Below are 14,328 nucleotides of genomic sequence, written 5' to 3'. Positions count from 1 at the left end.
TTTCTCATGGTTTAACACCATCCCCCTTGGTGTTTTTCTTAGTGATAGTGAGTTATCACGAGATTTGGTTGTTTTAAAGGTATGTAACACCTCCCCCACCCCCCTTGGTCTTGCTCCTGCCGTGTAAGACCCCTTGCTCCCACTTTGCCTTCTACCATGATTGTAAGTTTCCTGAGGCCTCCCCAGAAGACAAGCAGATGGCAGAATCATGCTTCCTGTACAGCCTGTGGAACTGTGGGCCAATTAAGCCTCTTCTCTTTATAAATTGCCCAGTGTCAGGTATTTCTTTATAGCAATAAAAGAATGGACTAATACACATTCTATGTAAATTTACCTCAAAAATCAAAAAACAAAAAACCCATAAACATTTATTGAATTTATTTTAATAATATGAATATTGGAGTGTTCAGGAATGTGTATTATCTGTAACTTACTTTGTAATGCAAAGAAATAAATTAGTAGATAACTAGACAGGTAGGTAGATACATCAGTCTGTTAACATCACTCTGAAAGGATGCACAGTTATTGTCATGGGCCCCAGAGGAGCTCTGCAGAGTGACTTCAATCATATCAATGTTCATAACACACATCTGTATTTAAAAATGAATTAACTAGTAAACTAAATAAATTTTAAAAAATTATATCAAGGTAGAACTCCATCTGCTTAGAAAGAAAAGGAAGACTCCTGTTTGACAAATAATGGAGAAATAACTGGCTACCATTTCCATTGTCTTTAGTCATATACAGAACATAATCAAGGGTATTACACAGCTTCTGTAATAAGGTGAGTCCTCTGTATGCTGACTTATTTATCAACATCCTTATTAAGGAGAATGGGTCTCATTTAAATACAAAATTTCTTAAGTAAAAAATATATCTGCAGGTTCAGATGAGGCTAGGTGTTACTTGCTTAGTATCTCAAGCCCAGAAAGTGGAGGTAGTCCTAGAAGGAAATGACATGGAACTCGTATCAAATTCAGCTGCTTTGGTTCAGTAAGCCAACAGTTAAAAACAAAAAATATCCAAAAAAAAATTGGATAGAAGCTATGTTTCTGAAAATGGAGTAGGTCTATGGCCATACCATCTTGAATGCACCTGATCTCATCTGAAAAAAAAAAAATAGTTCAACAGGCTGATAAAGAGATCCACGAGTTGTTCAGATGCAGAAACAATGAGAAGCTGGTTGGGTACATACGGACATAAAGATGGGAACAATAGACACTGGGGACTAGTACAAGGGAGAGCATCATGGCAAGGGTTGAAATACTAACTATTGGGTACCATGCTCACTACTTGGGTGATGGGATCATTTATACACCAAACCTCAGCATTAGGCGACATATCCTTGTAACAAACCTATTCATATACCCCCTGAATCTAAAGTTAAAGTTTAAATTATAAAAATAAAACAAAGAAAGAAGTTGGATGATTTCTGAGGACTATTTGTTCCATGTTAAAGATGAAATAAATGCCCCCTATTGAAAACAAGAAAAAGAAGAAAACCTTGCTATTTTGGACGATATTAATAAAAACCAAAAAACATTAAGCAAATGAAAATGCAAGCTAAAACATACAAGAATATATATGCAATAAATATAATCATAAAGCACTCATATGAAAAATACATAAAAATATTTGAGCAAATAGAAAAAGACACAAAATTTGATATAAAAATGGCAAGATACCTGAACAGGCATTTCAAGCAACAGGATATTCAAGTATTCAGACAAGTGAAACTTTGCTCATACTCACTAGTAATCAAGGAAATGCAAATTAAAACTTCAGTGAGATTCCACTGTGGTTCTGTCAGAATGATCTAAATTAGAAAGACTACTAGGTGAAATATTGATGAGGGTGAGAAACAATGAGAACTTTGGGTACATTGCTGGTGGTAATATAAATAGGTACAACCATTTTGGGGAAAATAGTTTGGCATATTTTAGTGAGGTTAAACATACTTATCTTCTTTGGCCCAGAAATTTTATTTCTAGATATATACTCAACAGAAATGGATGCATGTATGCCCTAGCATGTAAATACAGGAGATGTACAGTAGAATCAATTCAAAAATCCATCCAAGGTAAAAATGGATTTAAAAAATGACCTTTTCATGAAATAATATATAGAATGAAAATGAATTAATTTCTGGTACATGCAACCACAAGGAAGAATCTCACATATAAAATATTGAGTAAAAGGAACCTAGCACAAAAGAATGCATACAGTATGTTTGAATATACAGATATTATATGTAAATCATATATAATTTTATATAATTTTAAATTATTATATATAAATGTCTGTATACTATATATATAAAATGCCTGTATATTCAAACATACTGTATGCTATATATATTTATAAATTGCTAGGGTACATATTTAGCTGATAAGACTATAAATCTATAAATAAAACCTAGGAAATGTTTACCATGAAACAAAATCAAGGGAGTAGTTACATTTGTGAATGGAAGAGGTAATTGAGAGGGCACAAAGAAGCTCCAGGGAAGTTGACAATTTTCTATAGTTTACTTGGGTTTTGTCTTGTAATAACTACATAAACTATACATATTTGTTCACTTTTCTGTCAGTTCTTAATGTTTCACAATAAAAGAGTAATAGTTTTAAAAATGTAACTGATTTGTGTAAAGGACTTAAAACTTTACCTATGTGAGAGGTGCTGTAAGTTCAAATTCGAGCTCCTCCACTTTCTAGCTGTGCAGTTTGGGACAAATTATCTTAATTTCATTTAGCTTTAATTTCCCATTTGCAAAAAGTGCATTATAATTATTCTTGTTATAATTTAAGGTTTAAATGAGTTAGTTCATGTAAAAGTGAGAAAAATAGCTCTGGCACATAGTAAATGTTAAATAAATATTAGGCATTAATGTCATTATTATCTTCACCAACATTAAATCATTGAAAGTAAAATGAGGGAAAAGGAAAATAAGTTTGACTAAATAGATGGAAATTTAAAAGCTTTCAAAGACTGGTTAAGAGCTGTAAACCAAAAAAGGATCTGAGATAGGTCTCAATCAATTTAGAAGTTTATTTTGCGAAGGTTAAGGACATGTCCAGGAGAAAAACACACAGAATCACAGATCAATCTGTGGTCTGTGCCTTTCTCCAAATATGAATTTAAGGGATTCAATATTTAAAGAGGAAAAGTGGTCTGGATGGGAAAAGAGGGAGGGGTATGGCGATTGATATGTTGCAAGAGAAAAGGAGCAGATAGGGGAATGGTCAATTATGTATCTGTTTTATGCTCAGCAAATTGGTACTTTACGTAAGATAAGCTGAACATAGTAGCTACCTGTGGAGATATTTAATCCTTTGTAGCTATATGCTTAGCAACAAAAGAAAACGCAGCTTTTTGCATGACTCAGCTTTAAGCTTAATTTTTCCTTTTGGCGTAGTGAATTGGGGTCCCAAGTTTTTATTTTTGTTTTACATTTCTCCTCTTTTTTCCTTTTAAAATCTTTAGGAGAAAGTATTTTAGAAGAAAACAAGTCTCTGGTCTTGGGTTTTTTCTGATCTTTTGCTGATAGAACAGTTTATTCCTAGAGGTATAGGTCCCACGTTATTAGGCAAACTCATTTTTAGCAGGTTGTGAAGACTCATGTCTCATGAAGAAAACAAATAGGAGGAGATAGGGAGAAAGAAAACGGAGCAAAAGATGGAAAATAAAAAACAAAAAGGTAGCACAATCCTGGAAAACTGATAGAAGCCATATTATTCTGAAGTCCATAAATCAGTAGGCAGGTATGAAAATGTTTCATGTATATGAATACGTTGCTGTTATTTTCCTCAAAAGTTTAAGTCATCTTGTATCCATTTGCAAAAATTTAAGGAAAGCATAACTTAATTTTTAGTGTTTTGAAATCAGGCAAAATGTCAATAGAAGAAAAAAGTCATGATTTTGGAGACTTGCAGCCAGAAAAATTTTAGGATTCAGTCCAATTTGTAGAAAATAATAAAAACTGAAAAACACTGGACAAGGCAAGAATCTAATAACAGGTATAGTATAGTTTATTTGGAAACATAATTTTATCTCTTCAATTCCCCGATTTTATTAAAGAAAAAATGATAGTAAGACCAATTAATTTGTAAAATAAATTGTAGTCTTATATACTTAGCTTGATTATTTGCATAAAGTGCAGGAGAAATAATTATTTGCCATATAAGATCTCTTTTTTAATTGGCTTTGCTGGAAACTTTTCCATAAGGAATCTAACATTAAGAGATTTTTAAAAACCTCAAGCCCAGCCAAAAATTTATTTGTGTCTGCATATACCTGTATGAAATGAGTGAATTCCTCTCTTTTTAAGGTCCTGATAAAACTTGGAGTTCCTAGGCCTGCCAGAAATGGACATTCTTTACATACCACAGGTAAGGCCCCTATAAAAGATGAGGTATGAGGCCAGTTTTCCCAGGGGGCTTTTATCAGCTGTATAAGTCAGCCTCATGTTCTCAAGGTTATATGAAAATACATCATTCCAGTTAAAGCATTGGTAAAATAACCAGTGTCTTCAATTATGTACTGTTGTAAAATAAAACAGTTTCTCATTTTGAATTTATGAAAATAACTACATTGCCATAGATTAAGAATATTCACAAATAGTTTCTAAATATTAGAGAAATTATGTAGAAATAAATTGTGTTTTAAATTCTGCTCACTAGGGAATACTCAATTGTTAAAAGCTATAAATGCTTAAAATAAGAGAAAGTTTTCTTTCTTTTTTTTTTTTTTTGAGATGGAGTTTCACTCTTGTTGTCCAGGCTGGAGTGCAATGGCACGATCTCGGCTCACTGCAACCTCCACCTCCCGGGTTCAAGCAATTCTCCTGCCTCAGCCTCCTGAGTAGCTGGGATTACAGGCATGTGCCAGCACACCTGGCTAATTTTTTTGTATTTTTAGTAGAGACAGGGTTTCACCATGTTAGCCAGGATGGTCTCCATCTCCTGACCTCGTGATCCGCCCACCTCGGCCACCCAAAGTGCTGGGATTACAGGCGTGAGCCACTGCGCCCAGCAAGATTTTGGAAAGCAAATAACAAATTTATGCCAATGTGTTATTATTTAATCCAAATAATATAAATCTAATACAAAGAAGGTTAAATACCATTTTGTATTTGACAATGCTTCCGGTATGATATTATTATACTAAATAAGCCAAATATATCTCTTTGGGACTTCAGGGGATCTAATATGAAATAATTAATGAGGTCAAAAGACTAAATTTAATATTTCATTTTGGAAATTTTGTCAAATATCAAAAGTTTAAAACACTAGATATCACAAAATAGTATCTCAGGTCATTGTAAAATAAGCCAGTGGTCCCCAAGTTTTTTGTCACCAGGAACTGGTTTTGTGGAAGACAATTCTTCCACGAATGCAGGGGGTGGGGATGGTTTCAGGATGAAGTTGTTCCACCTCAGATCATCAGGCATTAGATTCTTATAAGGTGAGTGCAACCTAGATCCCTTACATGCACAGTTCACATTAGGGTTCGTGCTCCTATGAAAATGTAATGCCACCGCTGATCTGATAGGAGGTAGAGCTCAGGGGGTGATGCTTGCTTGCCTGCTGCTCACCAACTCTGTGTAGTCTGGCTCCTAAAGGGCCACGAACCTGTATTAGTGCATGGCCCAGGGCTTGGAGATCCCTAAAATAAGCCTTTCATTTAGTTAAAGTGACAACCAAAAGACTTCAAAAAAAGAAGCAAAAGCCTTTATTATTTGAGATAGGAGACTTACATTCCCAAATAATAAGCCCTAATAAACACATTATGAGACCAATTAAATCTGTCTCTCAAATCTTCTAAACAAATCTATTAAATTCTAATCATCTTGACCGTAAGATATAATTTCTATAAACCTTTTTATGGCCTTTCGTTTTTTTTCAAATTAAATAATGGGTGAATGCTCCAAGAAAACCTTGTTAATATGATACAGGGGCCCAGCTGCTGCTCTTGCATTAGTGTGCCTTTAATAATAATTTTTAATTTATAGAGAAACTCTGAATGAGTTATGTCTCTCAAAATCAGCCCTTAAAATCTCACATGCCCATCTCTTTTGTAATAGACCCTGGGCCTAGAGGGGTTGAATAGTTTTAATTTCTGATTCTGTGTCTCACAAATATATTTATTTTGATTGTCATCCTCTCCCAAGTCTGAAGATGACAATCTAATTGGTGTCAGTGTTTAAGATTTAGCAGTATTTGGTATACTTTTTAGACCCAGGAATTAAAGTCCTATAACTTAAGAGCACAAGGCCTTTAAAAGCAATACGAAAAGTTACATGGATGTAATAACCTTAATCTTTTTTAATTTCAGTTTTCCTAGGCAAATCCAAAAAATTAGTAACAATGATATAGAAATTATTTCAATAAAACATAATGTCTGTTTGTTAGGTTAGTTATCAAAAAGAAAAAAGAAGGCCTGAAGTGTGATTGCTCTTCCCTATGGGGAGTCCATTTAGAGTTCAAAACTAATGAAAATGGTACTTGAATTAGTTAGACATAGAAAAAGTGTGTCCCGGGTCATAAGTGAATGTTTCTCATTTCATAGAAGAATTTAAAGCCAAGAGCACAGAAGAAATAAAACGTTTTATTTAGACCTTTAAGATTAAACCACATCAGACCACAACAGCAGTTAGAACCTGAGGAAAAAAGGTTATAGGAGCTGATGGAAAAGTTGAAGGAGAAAGCTGGAAACATTGAGATGCAGTAAAAGGGAAACCGTTGGGTTAAAAAAAATTGAAATCTCTTGTGTTTTTGTTGTTTTAATCAATTCTTTAGTTTATTAGTATATTTTTAATATCAAAGCCCAATCTCTAGAAACAGTATTATAAATACTTACCTTTTAATTATAGCCAATCTGATCAAATAAAGTTTGTTTTTCCACAAATTCACTTTTTACAAACTTATTATGACTTACGCAAACCATTGACAAGCTTGAATTTCCTGTTTTATCCTAAAATCCCATTTTCTTAAATATTAGTCAATTTATTTTAGAACAAAAAAATTTACCATATAAGATTTTTTCTCATATAAAATTATTTTCCTTTTAAACTTTCCTACTAAAAACACCTCTATATGTTTATAACTTTCTTTCCATCTCTCTTATTTACTGGTTCCTTTTACCTTGTTTTACAAATAGCCTTTGAATTAGAGAAAAATTGTTTCCTTTTAATAGGAAAGCATTGTGTGTGTTTTTTTTTTTAAAGTTCTATAATTAAACAAAAATTGAAAATGTCTCAGATATTTAATAAATATTTATTATTTAATTTAATCTTAAATTCTAAAGTATATGACAAGTTTATAAGTACTTATGCCATTATATTGACCTAATTAATTAGTATTTTAAATAGTTTACCTAGATTACTTATGAAAACTGTGATAGTCATCATTTAAAGTTATTTCCCTGTTAACCATTTTTATGGTCTGTGAATTTCAGGTATTTACCTAAGTAGAAAATTTAAGTTTAAATAAATGTGTTCGGTGCTTTTTTTTTTGCCTATAACTCAGGATTTAGCTATTTTCATTAAACCAACAATATTAAATGTTTTATTTATTTAAAAAATACAAAGATAATTCTTTTTTGAGCTGCATTTATAGTTTTTTAACCCCCATACCAAATCTTTACACCTTATAATATTTAGCAGGGATAAATATATAACCATTTGGCTAATAAACCTAATGATAATATATGTTGACAATTCAGAAAACATTTCTAATTTTATTTTACCAATAATTATAAAGCCAGCTTATTTATTAAATATTTACTTACGTCACATGACCTTGAAAAGCATTTGGGCTTGTTTACTAAATTTATGAGTACTTTAATTTTTAAACTAATTTGGTATCTCATGGGCACAATACATAGCAAAACACATGTACATACACATAACACACCTAAGCACACATACACACTCATACAAATAAAGATCTTATAGTTTTTACTTTGTAACTCTAGCCATGAAAAATCAATACAAACTTAACACTTTATAAAATAATGGTTGGATGTGAATGGTGGTTTTTAATCTCAACACCAGTAGAAAGGTCCTTTAAACTAGAAAAAAAACTACATTTTTCTAAGCAAAAACCACATCCTCATGTCTTTTATAAAGTACCAAAAACACATCTTACCTTCCTACTATTCCACTAATTTCCAGTGAAAACCCTAGAATTACTTAATTTATCATAACATGATGTTAAATTACTGGAGAATTTTGAAACTAAATTTACCAAATTAATCTTACCAAAGATTACTAAAGTCGTGTGAACAGAAATGACTCTGAGCTAGCTTCTATTAATTTGATAAACACTTACTTTTAGTCAAGTAATTAGAGCTCTTTCATATAATTGGTAGTTTCATATTATTTCTACATAACACATATAAATATATGGCACATATAAACAGACCCAGACGAGGCAGATCTTATACATTTAAGATTTTTCATTTGCTTGTTTTCAAAAATGTTGCCTTCCCTACTTTAGACTATTAATTTCTTGATTATCTGTTTCATGTCCTAAATAATTGCTAACTAGATGCAACTCTAAATTTGCATCTCCAAAGACATGACTTAGGTGAAGCAAGGTGGAAAATGCACATCTCAAAGGCAATATCTAATTTCCAATTAGATTGAAACAAAGGAAAGTTCTGTTGTGTAAACTTTAAGCTATTGTCTTCACTCTAGTTATACTTCCTAGTGGTTTAGGTGCAGAGACAGAGATGCTGGGGTTTGGCTGTATTGCCAAATCTCATCTTGAATTGTAGCTCCCATGATTACCACGTGCCATGGGAGGGGCCTGGTGGCAGGTAATTGAATCGTGGGAGTGGCTCTTTCCTGTGCTGTTCTCATGATAGTCTCAGGAGATCTGATAGTTTTATAAAGGGGTGTTTGCCTACACAAGCTCTCTTGCTTGATGTCATGTAAGATGTGCCTTGCTTCCCCTTTGCCTTCTGCCATGATTGTCCAGGCCTCCCCAGCCATATGGAACTGTGAGTCAATTAACCCTCTTTCCTTTATAAATTACTAAGTCTCAAGTATGTCTTAATTAGCAGCATGAGAACAGACCAATACAGATGCTCTTACAAAATGGAGATTTCCTTTAAAGATGTAAATTTTCTTTATAAAGAGTTTTGTTAAAGTCACTTAGTTTGATAGGTGGTATTTTCAGTTTAGCTTGATTCGATTACTGGCTTTTGGGTGGAGCCGTTTAAGGAACAGGGCAAAGAAATCATGCACAATTTTCTTATCTAAATGTGCAAAGAAATGAGTGGCCCCCTGTAGTAATGACTATTTCCTGTAACCTATTCTTAACCATCACTAACATTGTAGCTCTTGTCCAAAATTACACATACCAAGGTCAAATCCTCTCATAGTATAAGGTAATCTCTGGTACCCACAAAAGCCAAAGAGGTTAGGTAATGCAATACAAAAAAGCAGGGCTTTAGACCTGAGAAGAATCTGCCCATGACTGTTGAAATTCCATAAAGAAAGCAGAACACCCCAAAAGGGGATGAGCAGCACCTTTATCCTGAGTTCTTAAAGAGGTCAGTGTATTAGAAGCCTTCTCTAATTCTTTTTTTTTTCTTTTTTTGCTTGGTACTAAAGATGACAAAAGGGAAAGGAGGAATAGGGTGGAATAAAAGTAAACAAAAAACCATTATTTTAAGAAAGGAGTGAACAGAGAAACCAAGCACGTGTATTTTTGTTTTGTTTTGTTTTGTTTTGTTTTTTGTTTTTGCAGCTGTGTGGAATTTTAGCCAAGTCAGAGGCCTTTTTCTCCATAATTTGAAATTCTCATTTGGATTTCACCAAGTTGGGTACAGTTGGTCAAATCTGATGGGAAAAAGACTGAAGCAACAATGACAACAACAACAACAAAAACACACAATACAATTATGGAATGCTCTAATGGTAAAGAGAAATTAAGATCAGCTGGCTGTCAATCTTAACTTTTAGTCATTAATGAGAATTTCCAAGTCAAAACCCCAATTCAGCTACTTATCTATGAATGGGGCCCAGGCTCAAGACTGCTCTCTATCTTAGAAGCAGGAAGAAACTCAAACTTCTCTTCCTTGTTGGAAGTGAGCTGAAACTCCAGAAAAGTTGGACAGCAAAGTAAACCTTAGCTCTCAACAAAAATTTGGGAGATCAGGGATTCTCTGGAGCAGGGAGCTCCCACACCTCAGCAAATTGTCCTATTGGATAGAGCAGTAAAGATAGCCTAAGCTGGTACCAAGCACCCACAGGAGATTTATGAAATGTCAGGGCCATCTCCACTCAGAGTCCGTTTCATTGCTCATGAATTTGTAAACCAAAAAGTATCTCAGATAGCTGTTACTCAATTTAGAAGTTTATTTTTCCAAGGTTAAGGACATGCCCACAAGGAAAAAACACAGAATCACAGAACAATCTGTGGTCTGTGCCTTTCTCCAAAGATGAATCTGAGAGCTTCAATATTTAAAGGGGAAAAGTGGGCTAGAAGGGAAAGAGGGAGGGTTTGGTAATCCACATGTTGTCAAGAGAAAAAAAGCAGGTAAGGGAAGAGTCAATTATGTATTTGTCTCATGCTCAGTAAATTGGCACTTTGCATAAGATAAGCTGAACATAGAGTAGCTACCTGTGGATATATTTAACATTTTATCTGTAGCTATCTGCTTAGGAACAAAAGGAAAGACAGCTTCTCATACAACTCAACTTTCAGCCTACTTTTTTTCCTTTTGGCATAGTAAATTAGAGTATCAAGTTTTTATTTTTCTTTCAAAGTCTTGTGCTTTGTTCTATGACAATTAATGAAGAAAAAAATTCATTGATGTTTGATAAAGCATGGCAGAGAAGACTTTTTTCCAGATCATCCCAATAGGTATACAGACTATGGCCATGGGATTTTTGCAGTAGGGGAGAGAGAGATACGGTTCAACTTTGTATATAGCATGGACAAGCAAGAATTAATAGCCAAGGAGCAGAGCGGGAGGTCAATGTATGAAAAATTACTTAAGAGGAGATATGAGGGGCAACGAAGATTCTAGCTGAACAAATCTGAATGGATTCTTGCTGAAGATAGGCCAGAGTGAGCAGCCATCACCTGTGAAATGGTGGATGAGGAATCACTGATCAGATGTAGAGGGTGAGCCAATATCAAGGATGCAGGGTTTTTGTTAAAATTAGATTTTACCAGTAAATGCACAGATGGGCTTAGGAGAAGGTTCAGAATCCTGACTAAAGTTTGGTCAAGCAAAGAATCCTTGTCACAATGGAGCACTAAAAAATAATTAACAATATAATTATTTTGAGATATCATAATTTTATAGATGAGAAACTGAAATGGAAAGGAATTAACTACCTTTTCTGGAATGACTTTAGTAAGTAAATGAGGAGCAGAAATTCAGCAGCTTCTGAAAGCTTAAAGTGGCAGTAGGATATAAAGTGGATTTGAAGGGAGAAGTCTATAAGCAGGAGGGCAAATTAGGAGACACTTTCAATATCCCACGGTAGTGGGAATAGAAAATTGGGGATGGATGAGAATCAGGATTTGAAAGAAGGTTTAGTGTGACAGCAAGAGGGAAATCAGAGGAGTTCTTGCTATTTGGGGCTGGAAGCCTGGAAAAATGGTGGAACTATAAACAAAAATAGAGATCACAGGAGTAGTAGCAGGTTTGCACTGGAGAGATAAAACATTTAGACAAAATGTAATTGTGGGGTCAGCACATTCATCATCATGATAAAAACGTGTATTAAATATTGCATTATGAGAAGCTATGCTTGACAAAGCAAGCTAGGTGAGTCTGCCATCAAAATCTCACAGTAGGAAGAAAGGAAGGTAAATGCTGCAGCTTGAAGCCCAGCAGGGTGGATAGCTGAGGAAAAGGATTGACTTGAGCATTTGGTGAGCTCCCTCATGGTGAAGCCCTGGGCAGTTTAGAGGCGCTTTGAAATCAATGAGAAACAACAGGAAAGAGAAGGGTTCAGGCAGGATGGAAAGAAACCCATTACAAATTTTGCGTGTGATGTATCCTGTCAGAACTGCCTGAGCCTGGGCCAGGTTTTCAAGAGGCAGGGCTTGGTATAGGTTGGTAGAGACCTGGCTGCCAAGCTGCAAGGAGGGAGCTAAAAGCTTTGTGCAGGAACAAAGCTAGAATCAAGCTAAGCTGCAAGGCAGAGACCAGGTGCAAGGCAGTAAGAAAGCTAAATCACCTAGGCAAGAACAGGCAGATAGAAAACAGATGAAGTGAAAGCAGCAGCATGTGGAGACATTCCACAATGGTCTGGAGTCTCAGACTGTGTCTTTTTATAGGAAGCTTCAGGACTTGGCTATGGCTGAGAGAGTTTGTTACAGGAACTGCGCTTGTTCAGACACAACAAAAATGGGCAGAGAATTCCGGTGGCCAACAGACACACAGATGAAGATGAGCAAAATAAAAGGAGTGTGGCTCACACCATTCTCGAGCTAAACAGGAACCCAAAAGGCACCTTTGTAAATTATTTTCCCAACTTTTTTTTTTTCCTCTGACTGCTTTGTAAATCCCTACTCTTTGTTTTTTTTTTGTTTTTTTGTTTTTTTTTTAAGAAATCCTGTCTTTTACAAATGACACACTCTCCCACAGAGCTCTTTCTCCAAGATTTGAAAGCTGGCATACGGCTGTTTTGAAGAGGGAAGCTTGGGCCACTTCTACCCATATCATGTACATCTCATAGATAACAGTGAACCCTTGACTCCCTGGCTGCCAATCTTTCATCTTTCATCTGTACCAAATTCACAATGATGAGGGAGAAAGAAAAGCAATTTAATTCTCAATGGTACTTCATATAGCTGCTGTAAAACATCCTTTCTGCTTTATACCAAGTAAGCAGTAATAACATAGGAACACTGAAAATTGTCAGTTAGAGGGTTAAAGTGGTGGAAGGAAAGTTCTACAGAAGAAATCTGTGTAATAAGGAAAAATATATACATGCTACAGTGGGTTTTCATCATGGATTCTAAAAACACCCACTTATCCTCTGCAAAGAACTTGTTACAGCTCATTTTCTATTTGTGTATATAACTCCATCCCAAGATGAGCATCTGTCAACCCAGGAAAGCACAACATTTATAATATTGTTTTCATTCTTGACTGAACACATAAAAAGCACAAAATCTAGTTAGAAGAATGGCGTATGTGTGTGGAGTTTGTCTCAAAGCCTTTGCCACCAGCTCTCCCTTTCTTATTATTTACAGACTATTGGTAGGTTTTTCTCAGAAGGGTAGGAGAGTGAGAAAATGAATCATTGGTATTTCCTTTCAGGTGGCTCCAGGAATGGCATGGAAGTGAAAGAAATTACCTAGCTTAATATAATCTTTACATTTTCATTTTTAAATGTCTCATTATCATCACATTAGAAGCTGCAGTTTCAGTTTTCCTCAACCTGGAGTTTGGAATCCAAAAGCCTGGTTGAATTTCTCAGCATCCCAGGCAAAGATCTCCTCTGTAGTCGTTTGGACTCCATTTGATGTGGTTGCTGCCAGCTGGACAGTTCACCGTCTCTGGCTCTAGCTGTGAACTTTAACTCCACATTGCTAATCTCTGTTTCTTAACACCAGGCTTTGACCCGTGTTCCTTATGATCTCTGCATTTGGCTTTGAGATACATGTGAATATTCCTTTTCTAAGTCAGGTTGTTCATCCTTATAATTCTCAAGAAAGATGTATGCTGAGACAATCTGATCATTTGGTTGAAAAAAGATGGGGAGAGGAGAGAAAAGAGAACTGGTAGCCTTCAGGAGCATTTCTGACTCCAGAACAGTAACTTGGGAGTCTTTGGTCAGTTATAATTTTCCCTCTGTGAGCATTCTTCCCCTGTACCTGACATTGTGTTGGACTTATCATAATAGCACTGTGGAGTACTGTCGTCAACGAACATTAATTTATAGTCTAAAAAAGCTTGACTTTGGATCCCCACTCCATGACTTTTCATCTAAGTGATCTTGAACACATTCTGTTATTTTTCTCTGCCTATTTCTTCATTTAAAACGTAGAGATAAAATATCACCTTGGATAGATTTTTTTGAAGACAAAATGTGTTAATGTATGTGAAGCACCTACTTGTGCTGCATTAAATAATCTGCCCTCAACACATTATATTCCTGATAGTAGTTATTGAATGATATTTTGTTATTGCACTAAATAATTATTGCCTAAGATCTGAAATGTTGGAAGTACAGCAAAACTCAGGTGCAGAAATGATTCTGCTCCTCCTACCTGCTCCGCATGCACTTATAAAGTGCGGTGTTTTTCTCACATGGATTTCCTATGGGGCTCCTCCAGGGTTCCATTTTATTTT

At 35.0% G+C, this 14,328-nt stretch overlaps 1 pseudogene, besides 1 other annotated feature; it reads left to right on the top strand.

Moving 5' to 3' along the window:
* On the top strand, nucleotides 483-1,063 carry RPL9P13 (ribosomal protein L9 pseudogene 13; annotated as a pseudogene).
* Nucleotides 11,384-12,354: an enhancer, noted in NCBI's record as "OCT4-NANOG hESC enhancer chr2:140478986-140479956 (GRCh37/hg19 assembly coordinates)". NCBI's record gives its function as "activates a minimal SCP1, AML or CMV promoter by ChIP-STARR-seq in naive H9 embryonic stem cells {active_cell/tissue: H9 hESC(naive)}" and the evidence as "EXISTENCE:reporter gene assay evidence [ECO:0000049][PMID:30033119]".

This window comes from Homo sapiens, chromosome 2, assembly GCF_000001405.40.
Source record: "Homo sapiens chromosome 2, GRCh38.p14 Primary Assembly".
Taxonomy (NCBI): domain Eukaryota; kingdom Metazoa; phylum Chordata; class Mammalia; order Primates; family Hominidae; genus Homo; species Homo sapiens.
The sequence above is the reverse complement of the archived record's forward strand: the minus strand, read 5'-3'. Positions and strand labels throughout refer to the sequence as shown.